The 27,358-nt window shown below is 37.1% G+C and overlaps 1 long non-coding RNA gene across 3 annotated transcripts in view, besides 1 other annotated feature; it reads left to right on the forward strand.

Annotated features, from left to right (window-relative positions):
* LOC105374647 (uncharacterized) overlaps positions 1-26,864 on the forward strand; it is a 36,488-nt gene extending 9,624 nt beyond the window's left edge. For 2 of the 3 annotated variants that reach the window (NR_188264.1, NR_188265.1), the window contains 2 exons: positions 25,259-25,401; positions 26,736-26,864. This is a non-coding gene — a long non-coding RNA (uncharacterized LOC105374647). Of the gene's footprint in view, positions 1-25,258; positions 25,402-25,869; positions 26,138-26,735 lie in introns of those variants that run through there. The other variant, NR_188263.1, reaches the window with a different exon arrangement.
* Positions 14,765-15,964: an enhancer, noted in NCBI's record as "BRD4-independent group 4 enhancer chr5:8549695-8550894 (GRCh37/hg19 assembly coordinates)". NCBI's record gives its function as "activates an origin of replication core promoter dependent on BRD2, P300/CBP, MED14 and CDK7 cofactors, and independent of BRD4, by STARR-seq in HCT116 cells {active_cell/tissue: HCT116}" and the evidence as "EXISTENCE:reporter gene assay evidence [ECO:0000049][PMID:35650434]".
* Positions 26,865-27,358: the final 494 nt, after the last annotated feature.

A 27,358-nucleotide genomic window follows, 5' to 3' on the forward strand; every position in this document is an offset into this window, starting at 1 on the left:
AGAGTTGAATTCCAGAATCTGTTCAGCTAACACACAGTAGACTGTCTAAGAGAAAAAGTGGCTTGTTGAAAACTTATATAGTCATAGGTTATGGTACTCAAATTCAGGTACCCCTATGTTAATTTAGTGTTCCTTTAATTACATTAGATACTTTTCAATTTTTATTAGTCAATTTATACACTAAACATTTTAAAAAACTATTTTATATGAGGTAACGTATACTAATCTTGGAGATTCAAAATGTTTAGGAAAAAATCCCTCCCTCAGTGACTTCATGGTTAAGAAAAGCTTATGGATAGAAAATCAAATTAACTTAAATCGGACACGTATTTACCAGGGCCAGCAACTGGCAAAAGGTGATCTAAACAGTAGACATTCAAAGATGAGTAAGACATAAAGCATGCCCACAACAACCTCACTGTTTAGTGGGAGATGGGAACATTTTAAAAAATAGATGAGGTCAGTGCAATATAACATAAAACATGTCTGAGGCTGAGAGCTGGGTGAGCCCAGCTGGCCACGTAGGGCTTCAGAGAGATGGCGAGATTTTATCTGGGCTTGTAAATAGAAATGAAATCTGTCAGGAAGATATGGAAGTATTCGAAGAAGAAAAAGCTGATTGTGGAAAATGTCTGGTGTCAAGGAATTGCCCGTCATGGCTTGGAAGTGAAGGAGTGGCCAGTGTGAGTGGTCTCAGCTTGCAGGAGACAGGGCTTTGCTAACTGCCCAGCTAGAGAGCACTCAGTAGTCAGAGGATAAATGAAGTTACCATAAACTTGAGCTAGAAGGAAATGGTTCAAGAGAGTTCAGAAACACATTCCATTGCTGGGGTGACAGAGAGGACTCAGGGATGATACAAGGTTCAATGTTGAACAAGTGGGTACTGCTCACAGAGATAAAGAAGAAAATGATTGTAGAAATTGCTACTGCCTTGGATTATGATACGTTGGACACACTCAGTCTAAGTTGCCTGTGAAATATTTCGGGAGAAGAGTCCAATACATTTCAGCTAAGTAATATTTGTATATTCTTATATCCTTACCTTTCTATATTATCAAATGCTCTTTGCTCTTTCACTACTTATACAGAGAAGAAATTCAAATGAAAATGTTATGAAAATATCCAAAGACTAAAAATCCACTGCTATCACTGAATCTAGGATGAATGCTTTTTGGAGCTATCAATTTGTGAAAATTGTAAGATAACTTATTTTATTAAAGATCATTTTTAAATCAAGGGTAAGGCTTTCTGTGGGGCCAATTTCATCAATAAAATTAGAAAAAAGTGATGAGCAAACTGATCTACCAGTTTTCTGTTTGTTTTTACCTTTGAATTTTAACAGTGTATTGAGATATAATTAACACACCATATAATTCACTCATTTAAAATACACAATTTGTTGATTTGTAGTACACAAATTTGTGCAATTCTCACAAAAATCTAATTTCAGAATATTTTCATTATCACAAAGGAAATCCTGTATTCATTAGCAGTCTACAAGGCTCTTGCCATATTTTAGTAAAACTGTACTTAATACTCTAAGCAATTGTACTATTTCAAAAATATGTATTTCAAGATTTATAAAAGGAGATACTCCTTCACTATTTCAAACATAATTCTAATATTATAGCTTCTAGATATACCAACTAAATCTAATTAAAAGTCAATGATGCAAACCAATAATATAATAATAGATCAAATGCTAGCATATCAAGCACACAGATTATCAGAATAAACTTAACAAATTAATACACCAACTATATACTATCTGCAAGGAACTCACTTCCAATATAAAGACACGTGTAAGTAAAAGGGGAAGAATAGAAAAATGTAAGCCATGCAAACATAAATCAAACAAAAGCTGAAGTTATTACATTAATGTCAGATCAACTAGACTTCAGAGAAAAATATTCCAGAAAAAATAACATTAAATAATAATAAAAGTGCTATTCACCAAGAAGACAGAACAATCCTACATGCATATGCACAAAATAACAGAGACACAGAATACATAAAGAAAGAACACTCTGCTTCTAGGAGTTAAAAACTCACGGAATCAGAGAGTAGAATGACGGTTACCAGAGGCTGAGAGGTGAGGAGAAGAATGGAGAGATTTTGATCACAGGATACAAAATTGCAACTAGACAGGAAGAATAAATGATAAGTATTTAAGATGAGGGATATGTTAATTAGCTTGATTCAAGCATTCCACATGGTATACATATATCATTATAGCATCACTATGTATCCATAATTATATATGATTATAATTTGTCAAAAAATAAAATGAAACTAATAAATCTGAAAGGAGAAATAGGTAAATTCACAATCATAATTGGGCACATCAATAACCCTCCTCTCAGTAATTAAAAGAAATTATAGGCAGAAAATCATAAAATATACAGAGGAACTGAACAATAATACCAATAAACAGAATCTGATTAATATTTACAGAACTCTTCAGTCAATCAAAGCAGAATATACTTTCTTTTTAAGTGCCCCAGGGATATTCACCAATATAGACATTATCAGTTCATAAAACAAACTTCAATATGTTTAAAATTTTATAAATAATAAAAGTATACTCTCTGACTATAATGTAAATAAATGAGAACTCAATAACAAAAAACGAGGTTCCAGTTATTCATAATCTTCCCATTTTTTCAAGTATTCCATCAAATACTTGGAAATTAATTAGCATATGTCTAATAACACATGGATCAAAGAGGAAGTCTCAAAGGAAATATACAAATATATTGAACTGAATGACAATGAAAGTGCAACATATCACAGTATGCAGAATGAAAATAAGCTGTGCTGAAAAGGAAAGTCATAGCACTTAGAAATGAAGAACGGTCTGAAGTCAACACTTTAACTTACTAGAAAAGAAGAGCAAGAGCAAAATAAACCAAAATCAGGAAGAAAGAAGAAAATAACAATATACAGCAAAAAATGATAAAAATTAAAATAAGAAAACAGAGAACGATTAATAGACTCAAAGTGGTCTTTCAAAATGATCAATGAAATGGATAAACTTCTTGCAAGCCTGATAAATAAATAAAAAGAGAACATCCATCTTACAGAAATCTGAAATGAAGAGGGGATATCACTACTGGTATCACAGATAGTAAATAATCAGAGCTACAAACAACTCTATGCACTTACATTTGACAACTTAGATAAAATGGACACCACTTGAACAGTACAAACTACCAACACTGGTCCAAGATAGAACAGATAATCTGAATAGTCCTACTATAAAGAAAATTGAACTATTATTTAAAAACCTTCCAAGAAATAAACTTCAGGCTTAGATGGTTTCACTGGTGGAGTCTACCAAACTTTAGAGAATAAATAACAACTCTACATAGTGTCTTTCTGAAATAGAAGACATATTTCTAAAATCATTTTTGAGTTTACTATTTCCCTGATACAAAATCAGGAAAATACATTACTTATAAAAAAAAGAAAGAAAATTATAGACCAATATTCCTCAAGAACATAAACACCAATATCCTGAACAAAATATTAACCAAAATATGTTGTTTAATATTATATATACATACATACACACACACACACACACACACATATCTATATATATATATATTTTCACCAAATGGGGATTTATTCCTAGGGATGAAAATCTCATCTGGTATTCAAAAAAAAATCAATATAATTTTCCATATTAATAGTGTAAAGAAGAAATGCCATACAATCATATCAATTGATGGAGAAAAAGCATTTGACAAAATGCAACACCTTTCATGATAAAAATATCTCAGCAACCTAGGCCTAAAACTTCCTCACCCAGATAGAGATCATCTACATAAAACCTACAGCTATCATCGTATCATATGTATGTCAAGAGGTACAGATGCCATGTAAAAGAGCTCTCAATGGCCGAAGCTGAAACAATTTGAGCTATAACACGCATACATATATAAATTTCTACATAAAGTAACATAACAATTTTGTATAAAGCCAAATATATCTTTCCTATGACCTGAAATTCAACTCCTAATTATTTACTCAAGAGAATTGAAAACAAGTTCACAAAAAGGTTTTTCTAAAATGTTCATAGCAGGTCTATTTACAATAGTTAAAAACTGGACGACATCCCAGGTATCTTCAATAATGAATGAACAAACAAATTGGAATATTCCCACAATGGAACACTACAATAAAAACGTAGCAAATGTTTGGTGAATGCAAGAACATGGATGCATTACAAAAGCATGCTGAACAAAAAGCCTCACACATGTGAGAACATATGGCTCCATTTCGTTTACACAAAATTTTAAACAGGCAAAACTGATCTCTATTGAAAAAACAAATCCGAACAATGGCTGCCAATTTGGGTGTAGTTGGGGGGTAGTACTGGAAGTGGCATAAAGAAACTTTCTGTGCTAAGCATAATATTCTATATTTTGATAGGGGTTTAGGTTATGGTATGTGTACTTGAAAAAAAAACTCCGTAAATCTATATTTACTACTTATGCATTTCATTGTGTATACATTTTAATACAAATCTATAAATATTGAAATCATGCTAATGTATGCATGCTTAAGCATTTGAAAAGTTGTGTACTGATGTCTGCAATATACTTCAAAGCATTTCTAAAAATGGATTAAATGATACATGGATGTATAGATTTGATAAATCAAGTATAATAAAATAATGATAAAATCTAGGTGGTGGATATTTTCGGACTCATTGTAGACTTATTTCAGTTTGCTGTGTTCTTGAAAAATTTCATTAGAAAATCCTGAAAAAATTAATGCTACCCAATTCTTTACAGAGATGCCATTTTCCCACCAGATTAGAAGACAGACTGATGCACAAATGCCTTTAAATCAACTCACTGTGTCTAAATAAGGTCGCTGCATCCATTGTTCGTCATTTTATATTTTTGTTTTTTAGATTCATAACTTTTCTTGTGTCTCTTTACTGCTTTGAGCCAACAATGAAATTATGTGCTCTTAAAGATTCTGATATCCCAACAGACCTCAAACCTGCAAACCTAATTGTTCGAAAGGCTCTTCTTATTGACCGACCTATATTTATGTGCATTGTGATTGCTGCCTGTGGGGTCAGGCATGCAAACATCAATAACCTACCACCAGAAGGCACATTTTAATGACAGAGGTTAGGGAAGCAAAGGTTTACAGGATTTGCTCCCAGCAAGTTCCTTATTCATTTTAGGGTCTTCCCCAAGATTTGTGAACCCCAAATATAGCAGAGAGGCTACTTCCTCATCCAGTATTGTGAACTTGTTCATGTAGTAACGTTATACTGTCTTTTATCCATCTTTATTCATCTGTTATAAATTAACACAGTATCCATAGTCTTGGAATCATATAGTATCCACGCTCTTGGAATCACATTGAAAAAGCACATAGTATCCAAGCCCTTGGATTCAAATTGAAAAGGTTTTGTAAAACTAGACAGAAAAGGTGGTTTTTGTGGAATACTCTTTGGAATTAAGCTGAGGAAGAATGTTCTAAAGAGGACGATCCAGGAGGACACAGGGCAGCAGAAATGAGGCACAGAGATGATTAGAGGATACAAAGATAGACCTTGGAAACTGTTCCGTCTCCAATTTCTTCATTAAGGCATGTGTAACTGCAGCCACTGGCCTCCATCTCTGGGATCACATTCCTCTGCTCCAATGTAGCACTGTGAGATTAGCAGGTTTCATCTGAATTTCAGATGTTCTAGGCACATTCCTATGCTCCAGTACAGCAGGCTTCATCTGAATTTTAGATGTTCTGGGCACTTTGTCATAAGTGAATTTGTCAGCATAGAGAAGTAAAGCTTTGATTATCTCAAGAAAGGGGGATTCTACATATAATAAAACACTTGCTACTCAGATGTGTCTGTGGGTACATAACAATTGCTGCAATCATATCTCAGTCCTGTGGAAAGAAGTGGGTGGTATGGAAACATAAACCAAGCAAAAAAAAAGAAAAAAAAAAAAGAGTCTGTATTAGTCTGCTAGGGCTACCACAACAAAATATCACAGACTGGGTAGTTTAAACTGGGTCTTCACCTGGTTTTCCCGCTATGCATGTCTGTGTCCCAATTTCCCCTTCTTGTAAGATCACAAGTTGCACTGAATTATGGCTTACACTGTTGACCTAATTTGAACCTGATTACCGTTCTAAAGACCCTGTTGCCAAACGCAGTCATGTTCTGGAGTACTGGGGGTTAAAACTTCAAATAGAAATGTTAGGGTGACATAATTTAGTCCATAGCACAATCCTTTCCTTAAAATATTGTGAAATTCTTAAGATAAGAGTATATCACCTTGGGAGGCTGAGGCAGGCGAATCGCTTGAACCTGAGAGGCGGAGGCTGCAGTGAGCCGAGATGGCGCCACTACACTCCAACCTGGGTGACAGAGCAAGACTCCATCTCAAAAAAAAAAAAAACAATAGAGAGAGTACATCACTTCAATAAACTGTAACATGCAGGGAATGGAGTGATAGTTTTGTGCTTTGCCACAGACTTTCATCATCTTTTTTTTTTTTCTGAGACAGAGTCTTGTTCTGTCACCCAGGATGGAGCACAGTGGTGCGATCTTGCCTCACTGCAACCTCCACCTCCCAGGTTCAAGCAATACTGCTCCCTCAGCCTCCCAAGTAGCTGGGATTACAGGTGCATGTCACTGCGCCCAGCTAATTTTTGTATTTTTAGTAGAGACAGGGTTTCACCATGTTGGACAGGCTGGTCTCGAACTCCTGACCTCGTGATCCTCCCGCCTAGGCTTCCCAAAGTGCTTGGATTTTGGTGGCGTGAGCCACCATGCCCGGCCTCGTCATCTTTTTTGTAGTGACAGGAAGCAGGCTTGCTTGTGCACCTGAGTCCACTATGCTTCCATAGGGATGTGCACATCAGTGCTTCTCCTGCTCTGTTGGTTGCATGATTTTATCACAGGGGTCTGATCCCAGCCCACTCATTTCCCATATTACCTGGCTTCCCTTTCAGTCTGACCAATGAAAGGTACAGGCCAGAGACAGAAGGACAGAAGGGAAGGGGCGCCAGGGTATCTCCCCCTCTCTCTCTGCCTTGGTGAGTGTTTCCAGTAGCAGCCACATCTTCCTTGCTGCTCAGGTTCCTAGAAAGCCCTGAGCTCCATGGTTCCAACTTTTACTAGGCAGTCCCCAGTATAAAATGTTAGTCCCATCAAAATGCCTCTTGTATTTGGTTACTTGAAATTCTACTGCTTCCTACTGTTGGGACAGTAGCTCCTTCAGGCAGTTAAATTGCCACGCTAACCTGCCTGCCTTCTCATCTTCCCAACACCTATGTAACAGATCTTTATGTTAAACTCCCTATATGTGGAAAAACTAGAGTAGTGTTTGCTTCACTGTCTGGATCCTAGCTGATATGGGGGTGGTCTGCTGACCAATGTATTTGATTTATATATGCACACACACACACAGACACGTGAATAGACATAAACATACATCTTGCTTTTCCTTTGTTCTTCTCTTTCTAAACTTAAATACTTTTTATTACCTAATTCGAGCTCCAATTTGGGATTTGTAGATGCTCAGATTTCTTCTGAAACACATTTCTTTGCAGAAAATAAAATTGAAGTCTTTATGAAAATCTAAAGATGCTATGCTAGTTTATTGCAGTAAGGAGAATGAAGGAGAAAAATAAGAGCTGTGACAAAATTATAGAAGCAAAATAATGTTGTCAGATTTAATTAGGGGGTGTATTATGGCAAGATGGGGTAGGGGAGAAAAATAATCCATGCTAAAGTTGGTCACTGGCAGATAATATTTTGAGTAAAATATGAAAGGAACATTTGTATTCTTTGTCAAAATCATTACAGATTTATAGATAGTTTGAAAATGGAAGACATGTGAACAAATAATTGTAGGGAGTGTGGCTCATGATCTAACCTAGACCATGGCAAATGCCATGAGAGACTGAGAGTGAAGAGACTAAAGGGCTTGAGACATAAAGGAGATGGGATTCATTCTGGATCTTTAGGAGTTACTAGGGTGTTGTAAGGAGTAGGGGATGGGTCCTCTGGGCAGCTGGAACAGCGTGTGCAAATTATCAAGGTGCCCCGAGCCTCAGTTGGTTAGGGCATGGTGGAAACTGTGTGTGCTAGGAGCATGGGGTACACGGGCTGGAGAGAAAGGGAATGAGATTCCGGCTCACACACCCATCACTCTTGAATAGGCGGGACGCCTGACCACCCTTGGGAAGAAAAATGTGAGAATAACAAGGTTTGAATAACAGTACTGGGGCTGACCACAGACTGCTAGAGTTCCAGTGGGGAATGGAGGGAAATGATCTGATGAACTCAGTTTCCTTTCCTTTAAGGACAGGGCCACAAAGCTGGGGTGACCTTTGCTGTCAGTCTGTAGGCTCCTCACATCTCCACTGAGATAATGAGAACCCAACTTTCACTTTAGGTGCACTTGAGCAGAACGTACTGTTATTGGCCATGTCCAGGTTCATTCTGCCTGCACGCAGTAAATCAATCACCGTGACATGGGCTTTGCAAAAGAGAATAGATGTATTCACAAGGCCACAGAGCAAGGAGTCAGGAGAACAGGTCTCAAATCCTCCTCCCTGAAAATAAGGCTTATGGATATTTATGAGTTAGGAAAGTAGGGTGTTCTAAGGTGAAAAATGAATAACAGGTTCATTCTGCATAAGCGCAGTCAGGCTTCATGGGACTTCACAAGACATATGTACAGAAAACAGTAGTGTCACCGTAATCTAAGGATGGAGCTTTTAGCCCTCCAACATCAAAACGCCACTTGTAGTTTGGGGTAAAATATGGAAGGTCCAAGTGCTGTAGGGCACTTGCACAGGCTCAGTTGAAGGGTTCATGGTCTCAAGCAGTTTGAACTGGAGGGAAGCTGGCCTAAGTTTCTGAAAAACAACTGAAGGAACCGTTACCGTGGTGACCTTTGAATGTTATCTGTAAAGTGTCCACTGAAGGTTAAGTTTGAGCATTCAGTCGCGAAACCTTCTGCTACTGCGGCCTTTGGCTGCGTGGAAAAAGGAAAACAATAATAATGATAACACAAGGTAAGTGACCAAAAGCAATCAAGGCAGGCAGACCTGATCAGATAAACCCCTCAGTTTCAGGACTCAGAGACAGCGCCTTCAAACCCGTAGTGCCTGGAAAGAGGAGAAATGGAATAGAGTGACAATTAGCTGAACAAAGAGATAAGCACAAAAAGGCATGTGCAGTGCCTGTGAGGTGGCATCAGGAGTATTCATGCCAGCAGTGCCAGTGAGGGAGAGAAGAGGGGCCTGGGTGGGGACAAGGCTGGGACCTGCTGTGGGTGACCAGTTGGCCTGTCTGTCTTGGAGCCCCTGCCTGCGGCCTCCCCTCAGATAACATGCTGCACTCTGGGTGCTGTGTGGAAACTTCTGGACCTCTGGGAAGACATTTTTACCAAATTGTTGTACACTATTTTGTAAAAATAAATTATTTTATTCAGTACAGTTATTTCAAAATAAGAGCATACACATGAACACTGTCACTAAAGCCTGTCAGGGAGGTACCAGAGATCTTCAGGGAGTTAGAGTCTCGTATTTGAAAAACTGCCGCAAAACTACAAATTAAATACCCACAGCCTTAGAAGTAGAAATTATATTTAAAGATCGTCGCATGTGATGATAAAAAACATTGTATTCATATGAAGCTTTGGATGAACCCATTATTAATGAGAAAGATAATTTTAAAATTAATTACCTCCTTATCAAAGATAGAGTGATTGCATGAAAAGGCACTTTGAAACGAGGACCACTCGTGAATCCACTCTGGGTTTCTTGTACTGCCTTCACAAGTTACAGGAACTGCCAGATAAATCATTAAAATATGACTGTGTATATTTAAATTTAAGATTAAATTCAGACTCAAAGCTGATGTGTATGAAGAGTTAAGCCTTTTCAGAAAATTGTTCCACAAGAATCATCATCTTTAGATGCACTGAAATTTATTTTTCATAAGGCCTCATTAGGTATTTATCCTATTGTTGTCATAGCCAATTTAATACTCTTCAGGAACAGTTGGATCAGGATTTTGAGTCTACTCAAAATTTAGTATAATAAAAATTATTTGTGATCTTACATTTCCCAAGAGCAAGTGACATTGTTTTAAATTATATCAATAGAAAATAAAGTTGCTAAGTGCATACGTTTTAATGGCTTAGTAGAAGTATTTTCAGAAAAATGTAGCCATTGAAATCTTATGCTCTAGCAAGGTATCACATTAATAAAGTATTATTACTTATATATTATATACAATTATTATTTCAAAATATTATTTTTGCAATTTATGATTGCGGTGTTATGTACAAAATTACTCTGATTGAGTTTTATTAATGAAAAAAATTTTAGTCAGAGTAATTTTATACATTTATGATTGTGGTATTACTTATGTACAAAATTACTCCAATTATTATTAATGAAAAATATTTTTATAAAAAATTTAGCTGAGCTTGCTGATACATTCTTATAGTCCTAGCTACTAGGGAGGCTGAGGCAGGAGAGTCGCTTGAACCTGGGAGGCGGAGGTTGGAGATGGCCAAGATCATGCCACTGCACTCCGGCCTGGGTGACAGAGTGAGACTCCATTTCAAAAAACAAAACCCAAATATTTTTATATAAAAGGGTCTATATTTGAGTATCTGCAACTGAGCTTATTTTTCTTACTTTTGAAGAGGAGGCCTCATGTTTTCATTTAAGAATATTTACTGAAGTTGTATATATTTAATGTATGCAGCACGATGTTTTGAAATCCTTGTACATAGTGAACTCATGGCTGCTGTCAAGATAGCTAACGTGTGCGTCTCTTCACAGAGTTACCATTTCTTTGAGTGTGGTCAGAACACTTAATATCTACCCTTTAACATATTTCATGTATATAATACAGTAGTATTAACTATAGTCTCCATGCTACACATTAGAACTTATTCATTCTACATAATTAAAACTGTAATAAGATATCACCCCCCACCTGTTAGGATGGCTATTATCATAAAGACAAAAGATCACATGTTGGGAATGATGTAGAGAAAAGGAAAACCTTATACACTATTGATGGGAATATAAATTGGCACAGCCACTATGGAAAACAGTCTTGAGATTCCTCAAAGAATTGAAAATAGAACTATCATATGATCCAGCAGTCCCTTTTCTGGGTGTATATCCAAAGAAATGAAATCAGTGTGTTGAAGAGAGGTACCTGCACTCTCATATTTCTTGCAACATTACTGACAATAGACAAGAAATGGAATCAACCTAAGCATCCAACAATGAATACATGAATTAAGCAATAGTGGGATATTAACAATGGAATATTATTCAGCCCTAAAAAAGGAAGAAACTCTTGCTGCTTGGGACAAGGTGGGTGAACCTGAAAAACATTCTAAATCAAATAAGCCAGATACAGAAGGAAAAATATAGCATGGTCTTACTTATATGTGGAATAATAATAATAATAATAATAATAATAATAATAACAACAACAATAAACTGCAGTGCATTAATAGAAACAGAGTAGAATGGTGGCTATCAAGGACTGGGGAGAGGGGCAGTGATGGATAGGGGTTGGTATTAGGGAAACTGAGACTTGTTGGTCAAATGATACATTTTCATTTTTGCGCTGGCTTCACAAATTATGTGACTGGTTCTGCTTATAAGTGTGCTAATTCTATAGAATTTATTTGTTCCTCTCAGGTATATTTTCATTTCCTTTTGTTGGTATTTTTAAGCTACTTAGATACCTCAGCATTACTAATGTGTTCTAGCTAATATTATCTTTCAGATTAATTACTCTGAATGAATTGCATAGCCTTATAGAGTAAACAAGTTTAATGATTTGTAAACTTCCTCCAGACTGCTGTGTGCTTTACTGTTTCTAATTGAATCTGTCACTGTTTTATTTATTTGTTCATGTTTGTAAACATTTCTCCTTCCCAGTGAGTCAAGGAGCTTTCAACCCATCAACGTGAGCTGTGTCACCTAATTCCCAGTTGTAAATATGAGCTTGTAGAAGGGTGATACAATTTGGGTGTGTCTCCACCCAAATCTCATCTTGAATTATAGTTGCCATAACCCCTATGTGTCATGGGAGGGACCCTATGGGAGGTATTTGGATCATGGAAGCCGTTACCCTCATGCTGTTCTCATTACAGTGAGTGAGTTCTCACAAAATCTGGTGGTTTTATAAGAGGATTTAATCACTTTTGCTCATTCTTCTCTTTCCTGCCACCATGTGAAGAAGGACATATTTTCTTCCCCATCTGCCATGATTGTAAGTTTCTTCAGATCTCCACAGCCCTGTGGAAGTGTGAGTCAGTTAAATCTTTTTCCTTTATAAATTACCCAGTCTCAGGTATGTCTTTATTAGCAGTGTGAGAATGAACTAATACAGAGTGACGCTGGTTCTCCAGGTGCCATCCCCATAACTGGTTGTTGAGTATCCCAAATGAGTTTACTTCTGAAGTCTGTGGGCCAGGATACTGAGGAGAACTTCCTTAAATACCACTTTGATACTAATTTTTCTCTGACTGCAGGAAATACCAGTTATGTGCCAACTAATGTCACACCAGGCCTCCATGGTCCTTAGAACCCATCACCATTGTTCCTTCAAATTGAGCAAGGATGTGCTTCAGGCTGGGCCAGCAGCATGGCTCTTCCAGGGGAGCCATGGAGGAAGCACATGGGGAAGGTTTAACAACCAACTTTCCAGTGTGCTAATAAGAATTCTGATTGATTAGTACTGCTATTATTTTAAGAGAAGGGGAGAGATGCTCTGCCATGTGGTGTAGGATTTTCTTGACTGGGAGGCAGTTTCTGAACCTAAGGTATAATGTTGGAGAGGAAATGAGATGGTGCTAAGGATGGCTTGGTGGGATAGTGTCCTCCAATAACCTCATACTCACTTCCAACCCAAGACATGCCTAATGAGCCTACAATATGAGAAAATCGAAAGCAAAGGATGTTTACAGAAAAGCATCCCTGGCCCTTCCTTTTGTCTAGACTAACAAAACCTCCTATAAACCTCCAATTCTAGAGCCTCCCCCAAGGTAGAGGACTGATGGATGGAAGGGGTGGAGGTAGGTGGTGCTATTTCATGGAGAAGTACAGGCCCTGTTGCTCCATGATGTGGAAGGTTTTGGGGCCAGGTACAGAGGAGGCAATTTGTTCACAGCATGGTGACCTGGTGGCTTTTCGGCAGTCCAGCAGAGATGGAGGTGTCAACATGACCACACAGTGTTTGCTCAGCATGAGGTTCATCTATCTCCCAGACATGACTTGGCAGTCTTCTCACTATTTTCTGTATTCTTTCAAGAAAGAACTGCCACTCTGTTCTCTGCATTGCATGATTAACTTCAGATTTTTTAGCTAACAATTGCCAGTGTCTTCCTTCGTTTGACTACATACCATGTACAAAGTATTTTTAGCATATCTCTCATATTATCCCTTATTAACTCTCTTAGCTTTAATTTATGACATACAACATATCATAGTAACTTCTACTCAGTGTTCTAAACTGGTATGGAGTTTCTTCATTTAGCAATATGTTAAAGCTTGTGTGTGTGTGTGTGTGTGTGTGTGTGTTAAGAGAACATTGATTAGATGTGACCTATATGATGGGCCTGTGATCACCTCTATAGCATTTTGCCTCCAGGTAGGGGACTGATTCCTCTAACTAGTCAATTTGGGGAGGATAAGGGCTCATGGTCAGGTGGCCTCTGTCTTCTGTCTCTTCAGCAGGCCTGTCCAAGGAAAATATAAGTGGCCTTGGCTCCTCCACACTGCAAGTCTTACTATGCAGGCTTCCATCTGCAGCACCCCAGTCCAGTGCTGAGACAGGATGGGAGAGTTGATCTAATTCTGGAATTTAGTGAACTTTCACAAGCTACATCCTGTGATTTAGCTCCTATCAATAGCATGGGTTATATTTTGACGACTTCTTTTCTTTTCTTTTTATGTTTTCTTGTCTTTTCCTTTCTTTTCTTTCTTTTTCCCTCCCTCCCTCCCTTCCTTCCTTCCTTTTCTAACTTTTTTAGAGCTATTGGCAAGGGCAAGTAGAAGGGTGCTATTCATTGGGATACACATGGGATAATCCAATGTTTGTTTTGGTTAATATAGTCAGTTGAACTCCACAACTTCTTTATCACTGAACATTAAAATTGTCTCTATTGGATCAGTTAACTTTCAATCACTTAGCTTGCATGTGTGTGTGTGTGTGTGTGCGTGTGTGTGTGTGTGTGTGTGTGCTTCAAGATTATTTAGGTGAGAAGTATAATTTACATGCATCCCCCAAAAAAACCCTGAGGATACTTCTCAGGCTAGGTAATCTTTGAAGATGAAACATGGGATGGTGATCCTTTCTGTACAACTCAATTATTAAAAAGGTATGCATCCCAGTGTCTTGCCTGTGGGTCCTTCCTGCTTGAAAAGACACTGGCAGAAATGTACAATGACGAATCTGCTATTTGTGGACTGGTAATCGCTAGGTTCAAGTGCACGTGGTGACCCCCACATCAACCCTGCAGGGAGTGGCTCTGCTACTTAGGGGTTGTCATTATTACATTTTTTTTCACCCAGTATTTCAGAATCAATCCAAGATTCATCTAAATGCAAAATAGGTGATAATGTTGCAAATGGGCAGAATACTGAAAGGAAATAAAATACAATGACCTTAAGAAAGAATGGGTCGTGAGATAAGCTTTTGATGAATTATAGAGCAGTCTTGGCAGTAATGCCATGATCAATGAATTAATCATTTGTTGCTGCACTGTTACATTGTTTTTAATCTGATAATGGAGGGGATACATTTTCCGTATAATTTATCATATATTTAGCATAGATGGGACCTTCAAAAAGTGCTTCTAGGCGAAGAAAAATCACCACTGAATTTGAAACAAATAGAATCTACACCTCTTGAAGGAGAAACTTCAAGTATAAGAAACTTCTCTGAGAGGTAATTTTCACTTCTGCTGATGAAATTAGGGTGCTTTATAATTCAATCAAGAACACAAGATTTTTTTAAAAATGTCTGCAACATTCTTGTATTAGTTTCCCATTTATGTGCAACCAATTACTACCAACTTATCTTGGCTTATCCAAATATTCTGCTTAGGGTCTCTCCAGGATGTAACCCTGATGTCTGCTGGCTGCATACTCACCTGGAGGCTTGATTAGGGAGGAGTCCCGGTGAGTCTCACTGAGGTTGACAGAACTCATCTCCTTGGACTGTGTGACTGAGAATACTGGCTCTCCCAGATTGATGGCTGGAGACTGCCCTCAGGTCCTAGAAGCCACTCCAGTTCTCTGCCACACATGCAATTATGACACAGCAGTGTGCTTCTTCCAGATTGGGAATTGTTATTTACCCATAAAAGTTCCCAGTTCTCTTTTAAGGGCTTTCATCCAATTTTAAGTAAGATCCAGTCAAGATAATGTCCCTTTTGCTTGACCAAAAAAAAGAAAAAAAATACCTTATCTGCAGTCTTAGTTGCCTGAAAATCTCATCACTTTTGCCTTAAAATGTACTTAATGAAAAAAAGTGAAATATGTGTTCATTTTGCTAAATAATGTAACCCAATCAAAGGAGACTGATCCCATCTCATTTTTCATATCCTGGTGCTTAGAAACAAGTCACAGGTTCTGCCCCACTCCAGAAGCAGAGATGATCCAAGTCCATAAATCCTTGAGGGACACTTCAGAGTGCATCTGCCACAACTTTTATTAGTTTATCATATTTACTGTAATTTTCATGTGACAATTTGAAGAGATTCTGGAAAAGGGGAATTAAAGATGAGAGATTAATTCAGTCCACTGCAGAAAAGTGGGAATTTGATTCTAGGAGCATTGTACTCATTACCTGGACAGCTATATAGTCCTAGAGTAGTGGAAATATCCCTCAAGACAGTAACTTCCCTCCATGCTTTCTCTTTCTGCTCACCAAACACTTTTGTACTTTACATTTTGGTCTCTCAAGTGAAACTGCCACCACAAAAGGGTGTTCTGAAAAAGCATACCACCAGTTTTAACACTATTTAAATGACTAGATTCTCATTCTGTATGAGTAGACATGGGACAGAACAAAAAAAATAAAAAATAAAAATAAATTGTCATTCCTGTTTATCTTCGTCCTAAAATTTTTTTTAACAGACATTTATTCATTGATTTACTGCTTGCCTGGAGTTTGTTTCTGTCCACGTAATGTCGCTCACTGTCTGTGAGGAGACTGAGATCTGTTTTAGTTCCTGTGATTCATCTGCCCTGAGGCCAGGTCAGGGGTATCTTCTCCTAGGATGAATTCCTTCCTCCTCGCTGTCCATAAGCCCACTATATTTCTCTGCAGCCAGGAACCCCTGGGAAGCATCCCTGTTAACTGCCATGCTCACACTGGAGCTCAGCCCTGGGCCTCTTTTGCTGACAACTCCACTCTTCCAAGGAGGCCAGAATCTGGTGGGGTCTGAGGACTCACCCTGAGCTGCTGGGATCACAGGAAAGACCCTGCAGCCTTCACCACAGGATCTGGTCCAGGGACCCTTTGGAGACTTCAAAAAGATATTCACCCTTCTTTGTCAACTGAGGAGAGTTAATTTTCATTCCCTGGAGACATACACAAAATCTGTTCACTGGACAGCTCTGCCCAATGCAACCAGGGGGTTTTCTTCTTCAATGTCTCTCTATCTGCAGTGCCACCCTTGTGCATGAAGATGATCATGGTTTTCCCGACAACACTGCTTCAGAACCCAGATTCTTCTGTTATGGCGATGGCCTCTCAAAAGAGCCTTTTAGTGATGAAAACAACTTCCAACATAGAACTGTTTCTACGCTGTGATTAAATGCAGGCATTTGATATAGAGCCAAACACCTGAGGAAGACGAAGTGACTGGGTCTGGCTTTAGAACTACACGGTGTTAAGACCCATGTCTTTCTATGTCTGGTTCGGCTTCCCTTTTGGGAAGAAGAGTGACAAGATCAGTCTCCCTCCACTCTAGAGAAACCACCATGAGGGTCATGGCAGTCTTGAATTGCGAGCTATGGAGATGTAGTGACTCTTCCATGTTGCTGCTGCGCATCATGGTCCCCCTTGAAATTCACAAGCATTTCGGGTCCTGAAATCCTATGATGCAGAAGGAGACCCTTCTCCTTTTTGAAACACAAATTCCAAGTGACCAGTCCTTAAAGTAGGTTATGCTTGGGTACAGTTTTAATTTAATCTCACAACCCTTAGCATGAGAACTGATACGCCGCATATCTCTAAATAATCATCTGAATTCAGGTTTTGTTTTATGTCTTTGGAGCCTGATACTGAAAGCATTTTCTGGTATAGAAGATTCTGAGATTGTTTTCCTCTGACACAGTCATCCATAATCAACCAAGCGATGTGCCACATTCAAGAAGGCCCAGGTGTCAACCCAGGACAGACAGAAGAATTTATTACATGGAATAAAGAGTGAAGCTTAAGCCAAAAGATCCTCTGGTGATTTTTCTTCTTCATCCTTCATTCTTGACAATTAATTAATCAATGTATGAATATGGATTGAACTGTCATTATTAAATATCTTTTATATTCTTACTTGTGTTGAAGGCTTCATAGGCAACAGAAGATATATTGATGGGATATACATATTGATGACTGCAAAATAGTCTCAGAGATAGTGTAATAATGACCACTTCTGCAAATGATTTTTCTTTAATCTGCTAGAAACTGTTAACTGTTCTAGATGCTTAGCAGAAATTATCTGAAATTCTCACTGGGGAAACTGCAATGTGGGTAAAGCTAGCCTACTTTAAAAATAACAAAAGCAAGGCTCAGAGTAAACTTACCCAAATCTCCACATAAACAATGAATGAACAAGAAAGCATTACTATTATATGATTATTATAATATTAAATACCAACAGTTAATTGACAAGAGTGTCTTATGTGGGTTGGATTATCTCAGAATGAGAAGAGTACTTGGTGAGTTGCAGTCACAATGGAGGCATAGAATTGAATTAAATGGTTCATTTTTTTCTGGCTATGATTGATTATTTTACTCCTCAGAATTGAAAATTAGGCTGGGCAAGGTGGCTCACGCCTGTAATCCCAGCACTCTGGGAGGCCAAAGAGGGTGGATTGCCTGAGGTCAGGAGTTAAACACCAGCCTGGAAAACATGGTGAAACCCTGTTTCTACTAAAAATACAAAAATTAGCCAGGCGTGGTGGTGGGCACATGTAACCCGGGTACTCGGGAGGCTCAGTCAGGAGAATTGGTTGAATCTGGGAGGCGGAGGTTGCAGTGAGCTGAGATCCCGCCACTGCACTCCAGCCTGGGCAACAGAGTAAGATTCTGTCTCAAAAAAGAAAAAAGAAAGAAAAGAAAAAAGATAATTAAATAATCTTTAGCCACACAAAAAATAGTCTTGGTAGTGAAAATCACATACGTAATTATCTACAAGCCAATTATTTTTTCCCTAAACTACATGGGAATGGCTAATTTTTAACTTGTGATCATGCTTTCTACCCTGTCTTTTATGATACTTCCCCTGTTTGAAGTTAATTATATAAGTATTTTCTAAAAAAACTAATATATAGTGAAAAACAGAATCCAATGTAGGTCATTTTCTAAGAGAATAAAGAGTAAACAAGGCAGCTATCCTTTCTAAGCTTCAATCTCCTCATCTGTAGAAAGGAAAAAAATACTCTATTATTATTTGTAAAGTATTATTTATTAATTTTTATTATTTTCTATTATTATTACCATGTAATATAATAACTTCCATGATTTTTGTGAAAATGGATAAAATAATATTTGTAAAATGCCCAGTACTATTGAGCACATAGAGAGATAATTAGTAGATATTACCTTTGGATAGGAAAATTAGCTTTTGGCTAATTGCTATCAGAATCAGCCTGCAAACCAAAAGCCCTTGGATAGTTTCTTAATTCATTTTCCTGGAGAGATGCACCCCTAAAATAATTCCACAAATTTCTAAAAGAACCAGTTATATTATCCAGTGAGTCTTTCATGTAGTCCAAATTTCAGCATATTCAAAGCTCTTTGGGGACTTCCAGGTTTATAAACTATTGCTGGTATTGAAAAGTTTTGCTTTTGGTGATGCTTTGTATAATCAACAAATTTAATGTTATTCACCCTTAGGAGTTCTTGACAAATAATATCCTAAACACACAGTTAAAACATAAGAAAGAACTAAAGCTTTTTATGAGTTCTAAAGACCCAAACAAAACTTAAACTCCCTTCATATTCTGACTCCCACAGCATCTTTTCAGACTGTAAATAATTATCACCTCACTGAGAAAGAAAACAGAATAAAATATTTGCATTCTAGCATCTCTTCCTACTTACACCTTAAGAATGAAATGTTGGATCCTGGTTATGACTCTAGGACAGAATGCTTTGGTACTAACCCAGACTGATATGGTTCTCAATCAAATGCACTCTGTTTCCTGTACTACATCAAATGCATGTTGCCTACCTGTCCACTTCGGGTTTAGAGAGCAAATCGAGAAAGTAAACAGTGTGTGGAATGTTTAAGATGTAAATTACTCTAAAGGATGAATCACAAAGATGCAAAATGGTACAATCAACTTAGAAGACAATTTTCCAGTTTCTTACAAAACTAAATGTTATCATACTATATCATACAGAGATTATGCTTCTACATCTTTATATGACAGATTTGAAAATTTATGTCCACACAAAAATGAACAAATGAATATTAATAGCAGCTTTATTCATAATTGCCCCCAAATTGGTAGTAATCAAGGTATTCTTCATTAGGCGAATAAAATGCGGTAGAACTAAACAATGGAATATTTTCCAGTGGTAAAATAATGAGCTTTCTATCTACGCAATGATGTGGATGTACTTTAAACACATATTGCAAGTGAAAAACTGGCCAATTTGAAAAGGCTACTTACTAAATAATTCCATATATATGACATTCTAGAAAGGCAAAACTATAGGTATGGTAAATAGATTAGTGGTTGCCAGGAGTTTGAGGCTGAGCCAGAGTTGATGAGGTAAAGCCCACGGGATTTTTAATGCAGTGAAACTTTGCATATACAGCTATGAGTTAATAATGCTATGTTTGTATCATACATGGTACTCGATAGCACAAAGACCAACCTTAATCTATGCAAGTTTTTAAAAAACATTTGGGAGTTCAGGGGATCCCAGGATGAAATGCAGATTGTGACAAAAGAATCTGTGTACACATGTATGAAACAACCTCACTGATAGGCATGGTGGGGAAAGTGTTAACCTAAGCAACATTGGGAATTAGTGGAATCTATAAGATTAAAGACAGTGGAAACTGCACATAAGCACTGTACTCTAGTTGATAAAGTTGATATGCACAGGTTAGCAATGGTGAAACCACTGTACATATATACTGGAATGGAACAATTACAAAAATGGGTGGCAGATGGTAGGAACCAGGTTTCTAAATGTTGAAGTGGAAGTTTATAGAAAAGCAAAGAAAGAAGGCATGAATGATCCATGTGGCAATGAATTAGAGTTGGAGACATCAGTATGAGCTCATGTTTAGCTACATGTTTGTGCACATAGATGCATACATAGAAGGATATTTATAGATATATGGAGATGCACAGTTTAGTATACACATATATTTCCTTGTTCTATCAACTGAGAAGGTCTAGAAGCAATGACACCCCAGTAGCAAAAACCACACTTATCACCCAGAGTTTGTTTTCTAATTCTATTATGAGATAAAAAGAAGCAACATACTTGAAAAAATTGCTGGTTCTAGGAATGGTGCAGGGAACAGGCTCGATGATCCTAGAGCTTCATATAGTGCCATAAAGTGAAGAAATGTTTTTAAAAGTCCACAGTCATGAGGGTATGTCAAGGAGACACAGGAGATGACTGAAAGAGCCCCAAATAGCTGAAGCTGGATAATTAAAGCAACAAAACTAATAAGGAAGTATTAAAACCCAAAATATAAGTTAAGTATCCATGATTCCATATTGATATAAATTAATGATTGTATAAGAAAGCAGAATTGGAGAATATAAAATCTTTTTTTGGAGAAGAATTCCACACAATTTATGTAGACATTTCAGTCTCAGGGAGATAGAACATAATTCCACACTTCTTAAGTGTGGGCTGTGCACAGGGCATTCTTTCCAAAGGGTACTGTATAGAAAGGAAGGGAGAGTAATTGTACAGTAGAGGAACCTGACACACACTATCTCAGGCAGATGATCAAGATGAACAACAGTGGTGAGTTGATTTGGTTTGGCTGTGTTCCCACTCAAATCTTATCTTGAATTCCCACGTGTTGTGGGAGAGACCTGCTGGGAGGTAATTGAATCATGGGGGCAGGTCTTTCCCATGCTGTCCTCATGATAGTGAGTAAGTCTTACAAGATCTGATGGTTATTACACGGGGGAGTTTTCCTGTACAAGCTCTCTTTGCCTGCTGCCATCCATGTAAGATGTGACTTGCTTTTCCTTGCCTTCCACCATGATTGTGAGGCTTCCCCATCCACATGGAACTGCAAGTCCAAATAAACCTCTTTCTTTTTTAAATTACCCAGTCTCAGGTATGTCTTTATCAGCAGCATGAAAATGGACTAATAATACGTAAGTCATGGTCAGAGTATGTACCCTTGATTTGATGTGATGGAAATGGCTGAGCCACGGCCATTTTCAGGCACAGCAAAGAGGAGCCTAAAGAGAAATAGTGACTAAAGGCATGTGGTATTCTGAATGGGATCATGGGTCAGAAAAAGAATAGTAGGTAAAAACCAAGGAAATCCAAATAACATACATACTTAGTTAATAAAAATGTATCAATATTAGTTAAGTAATTTTGACAATTGTACTTTACCCATATAAGATATTAATAATAGGAGAGATTGGGTGCATATGGAAACTCTGTGTACTAGCTTCACATATTTTCTGTAAATTCAAATTTTTTTTAAAAAAAGGTCACTAACTTTTTTGCAAACTTGTAAAAGGCATTGCTTTTAAAAAAAACAAAATTATAATTATTCCTTGCTCAAAATCATTTGGATTTTTTATATTAGATTTGTTTTTTGTGACCTTGCTATATTTATTTATTAGTTCCAGGGATTGTTAAATTTTTTTAGCTTCTTTGATATAAATTCTTTGAGATTTCCTCTGTAGATAATCACGTCATCTTTGAATAAAGACAGCCGTATTTCTCCCTTTGCAATCTATAAACCTTTTATTTCTTTTTTGTGTCTTGTTGCACTAGCAAGACTTCTCTTATTGGATAGCAGTAGTGATAGAGCACATTGCTTTGTTTCCAATCTCAGGGAAAATGTCCAGTTTTTTACTATCAAGTATTATGTGACTTGATTTTTTTGTATTTTTATTTTTATTTATTTATTTATTTAAATCAAGTTGTGGAAACTCCCCTGTTACGAAGTCAGCTGACAGTTTTATCACATGTGGGTACTGGATTTGTTATCTGCTTCTCCTGCATCAATTGATGAAGTCATTGTAAAACGTTCGTTAGCCTACTTACAGATGGATTACATTGACTAATTTCTGAATGTTAAATTAGACTTGCATAACTGAAAAAAAAATCTCCCTTGGTTATGATGTATAATACTTTATATATATTGTTGGATAAAATGTGATAATATTTTTTGGCAATCATGTCTACATTCACGAGAGATATTGGTCTGCAGTTTTCCTTTTCATTTTACAAGACATTTTTCTTTTAATGTCTTTATCTTGTTATTAGAGTAATGCTGGACTTTGTGAGTTAGGAAATGTTTCTTCTGTTTTTATTTTTGGGTAGAAATTGTGCAAAATGTGTATTATTTCACCTATTCCAAAGGCAGAAGCAGCCATCTGAGGTACTTGAAACTTTTAATGAGATACATAGTTTTGGTTATAGCAGATTCTTTCATAAGAGACAAGGGTTAGCCTTAGCTTTCATGGTTTTCTGAAAGGTTTTGAGATTGTTAAAATTAGAAAACCAATGTCATTTCCTTACACGTTTTAGAAATATGTTTGTCACAGGGAAAAATTACTCTGGTTAATCTAATCTACATTCTGTAGCTTGGCACAGAAAGAAGAAAGACAGGCTGTCTGCCCAGCGAAGTCACAATAGAGTGAATTTTCATCCTGTTTTGCCCAGTAGAGCCTCATCCTGCCTACTGTCTAATCAGCTTTTCCAGTTTTGCATTTTTCCTACATCTTTTATTTTTTAAGTAGTATGATTAATCATTGCATGAAAACAAGCTGTGATGTTTGAGTCATCCTCACACGCTCCTCTCTAGTTTTTACCTGCCCATGTAAATAGACCTATATTTCTACAGTGATACTAAACATTTTCTAAATAAACAAGTCCTCTAAGTTTTGCTTGTTTTTTCTTTGTTAAAAACCAATTGGAAATATTTAATCAAATATTAAATGAAAGGTAAACAAAAAGATAAGCTTTTAAACCTTTGAATGAGTTCCAGTACTCGCACACAGAAAGCAATTATACCTACAAAACAAGGAAAAAACGAAGATATGCAATAGGCATTCGAGTGTACATAGTTTAGTGTTTAAATTAATAATTGCACTTTGGAATACCTCATCTCATGAGAAGAATGTTTTGGTGGAGTTTACATTTTTAATTTGATATACTCAGTGCCACAACAGAGCAATATTGAGATACCTGTGAATTTTTAGCATCTAAACTCGGCAAAACTTTTAGAAGGATCATAAAGATAAAGAAAAGTACTCTGGATAACTGAATGGTGCCACTACATAAGACATATTTACACATTTTATTTTAAAACTAATACACAAAATGTTTTAGAACTGAGACTCTCCGTTTAGCAGATTTTGCTCTCAGGTTAGCAGGTACTACAGCACTTAGAGAAATAATATTTTCCCTATTAAAAGTATTATGATATATAGAAAAGGGCCAATTAAACATTGTCAATAATTTCAAATACATTGACTATAACCTGCAATTTAGAAAATTAAAACTAATATGACCATATTTGTTTTATCTCTCTCAGTTTCTGTATCTCTGTTTCTCACTTTCTCCCTCATGTATCATAAAGAAGAACAGTTGATGGCAACCAAAAATGTTATTTGTTTGAAAATAAGTTTCTGTTTTGGTAGAGGTATTATCAGACCAGTCCCAGTATCTGGTCCAGGAGAGTGGGTTAGTTACTGCTGTTGGGGCTGGGAAGAGAAACTATGGCTCTCCTCTTGGGTGCACCATCGTTTTGAGTCTGAAAATAGTCAATACAGACTAAGAGAGAAGAAGATTGTTTACCCCAACATGGGGGGTGTGATCAGACATTATATCACCGCATGTGAGGTAAGCAGACCTTGTAGAAACAAATAACTTTATGATTTCATTAGCTACACAATCAGAAACAATATTGGTTAACTGAAGGGAGGTTCACACCCACTTCCTATTTCTACCTATTGTCACACAAATACATTCCTTTACCACCCTCTTCTCATTCTTACTTCCTTGAGAAGACAGAAGATGTGGGTCACACTCGTTTCAGGAACACTACAATTTAGCAAGAGGATAAAACATGGTAACTGAAATTTAGAAACATAGGCCTGGCGCAGTGGCTCACGCCTGTGATCCCAGCACTTTGGGAGGCCAAAGTGGGCAGATCACTTGAATCCAGGAGTTCCAGACCAGCCTGTCCAACATGGTGAAACCCTGTCACAACTAAAAATACAAAAAATTAGCTGGATGTGGTGGTGCACACCTGTAGTCCCAGCTACTCAGCAGGCTGAGGCAGGAGAATCGCTTGAACTCAGGTGGCAGAGGTTGCAGTGAGCCAGGATTGCTCCACTGCACTCCAGCTTGGGTGACAAAGCAAGACTGTCTCAAAAAAAAAAAGAAAGAAAAAAAAGAAACATAAAGAAACATTTACTTAAATAGAGGTGGCATTTAATAATTGTATTATACTACAAACCCCTTGAATATCTTCATTGCCTTCTGTCTACTCTCTAGAGTGAGTGGAGGTTGGGTGATGACAGCAATAGTGATGTTGTTTAAAGTAAGCAAAATTGATAGTAGTTATTAGAATAAAGCCTATTCCATCTCCTTACCTCACTAAGTATTTACCAAAAATGGTAAATAGGGTGAATATCCACCCACATTCTAATGCCAGATAATTCAGAATCACCTTTTACACAGTGTTATTCTTGATCTCTGCTAATTTTATTTTCTGTCTACTTTCTGGATGTGCTAACTTCTCTCCAACACCTCCAGCATCACCCTGGTCCAAGCCACCTTCAGCTCTCACCTAGACTAACACAGTTCTTCCTGTCTCCATGAGCCTCCTCTCCAGTTGCTGTATTGCAAATAACAATCAAAACAGCATTTAAAAGCAAAACAACAACAGCAAACAAATGGTAAGCAAACAATCAACCTAATCATTCCCTCTCTTATTTCCAAGTGGCTTATTCAGAAAATAAAATCCAAATCAGTTGTATGATGTAACTGTCCTGTTAGTGGCATTTATCTACTGCTTCAGGCTTAGCGTCCACCACTCAATCATTTGCTCGGTATCTCCTGGGTTCCCCCTTTCTTCTATTTTCTGAAATTCTAACATCACTTCCTGTCTCTCAGTACCTTCATACCTTCCCTCTATCTGGATTGTTCTCTGACATGCTTCCTCTACCTCCTACTCATCCTTCATGCATTAACTAACTGTCACTTCCCTCGTTTTCCTACTTTTGAGTTTCCCCATAACAATTGATTCTAGTAAAATTTGCTATTTCTCCCTTGCCAAAATTTGCTATTTCTCCTTTGCCAAATGTATTATAATTTTAGTTAGATCCATTTTGTGATCTTGTGTTTCATATCTACCTTGCCTCTAGACCATAATAAGCTGTATGGCAGCAGGAGAGAGATTATACAAGCTTTGGTGACTAAATACTTAAAAATGTCTGAACTAGATGAAATAATCAAGATTGTCGTTTGGGGAAGAAACGCCTGAGTGTTTCAAGTGTTGACAAATCCATGTCCACTCACATCCATGGGAGCCCCTTCTTTCTTATTGGTTTCATCACTTCCTATAATTCATCTCTCTCAGCTTCTCCAGAGCCTGACATAAGCTGACAGAGTCATGAATTTAATAAACTAGAATAATGTGACTCTGCAGACTGAAAAAAAACTTACTATCCAGAAGATGAGGATTGTATTCCCAGTTTTGCTATTAATTTTCTCTCTGAACCTAAGCAAAGCACTAAGCATTTCCATGTACAACTTCATTGCTTCAGCAAAACACTGATTTGGTTCCTTAGAGAAATAAAACATTGTAATTCATCTTGAATTTTTTTAAAAATTAGATTGAAATGCTAAGCAATTACTTTCTTATGATGTAATATTGATCACAATGCAGTTATTGATTCAACAACATATTTATTATTGATGGAAATTGTCTGCCTGGTATTCTAATTCAATTAAATGTTACTGTCATCATCCTCACGGTAATGCTGCATTCATCATCAGAACTGTTCACTGCTAGATAATTTGAATTCCCCCCCTTCCCAGTGTTGTTCTGTGAGTGGATTGCTTCACATCTAAAAACAAGCCAGGGAATGATGGGCTTGATTTTATTAAAGCCACACACTTCAATACTTCACTAGATTTCTCCTAGAATGTGACATACAGAGTAAACTATTAAAGTATCTTCTTCCAAACGTATGAAGAAAAAAGCTTTACAATTTTTTTTTTGCTCCAGATAAACCTTCTACCTCCCCAAGTTTCTAAAGGCACACATCTCTTTGGGATTTAACAGAGCATCATCACTTAGCCAAGCAAACTGCATGCTAAACAGATCCAGCTGAATAAATTGGACCACTTGATTTTTTTTTTTGTTTGGTATTGTCTCATGTATCCAATTCCGTTAATAGAAAATACAGTGCTACAAAATCATTGCTATGTTATAAGAAAGCAAGAAAATCCAATGATTGCATAGGTATATAACTAAATTTATGGTAAAAAAATTCTTTTTTTGGAGTTGAACTCTCTCATGCACCATTACAATAGACTTATTTAATGTACAGAAGAATCAGATTTATTCTTGTGGATTTTGAAAACACTGGGACCTATTTACAAAAATTATAGAAAGTCACATATTGGTTTAATAAAGAGAGGGTTTCTAATGACTGGGATGGTCCAAGAATGAGGTGGTCTGGCTTGTGTCCTAGTAAATTAGTGGTCACTGAGAGTACTGGCCTGATGACCTCTGTCAGATAAAACTCCCAGATTAAGTAGAAGGTTGTACAGAGGACATCTGATAGCATCTCTACCTTCAAGGTTTCCAATGTTGGCCATAGTCATAAGTTCTCCCTTCAGATAACA

This window comes from Homo sapiens, chromosome 5, assembly GCF_000001405.40.
Source record: "Homo sapiens chromosome 5, GRCh38.p14 Primary Assembly".
NCBI lineage: Eukaryota > Metazoa > Chordata > Mammalia > Primates > Hominidae > Homo > Homo sapiens.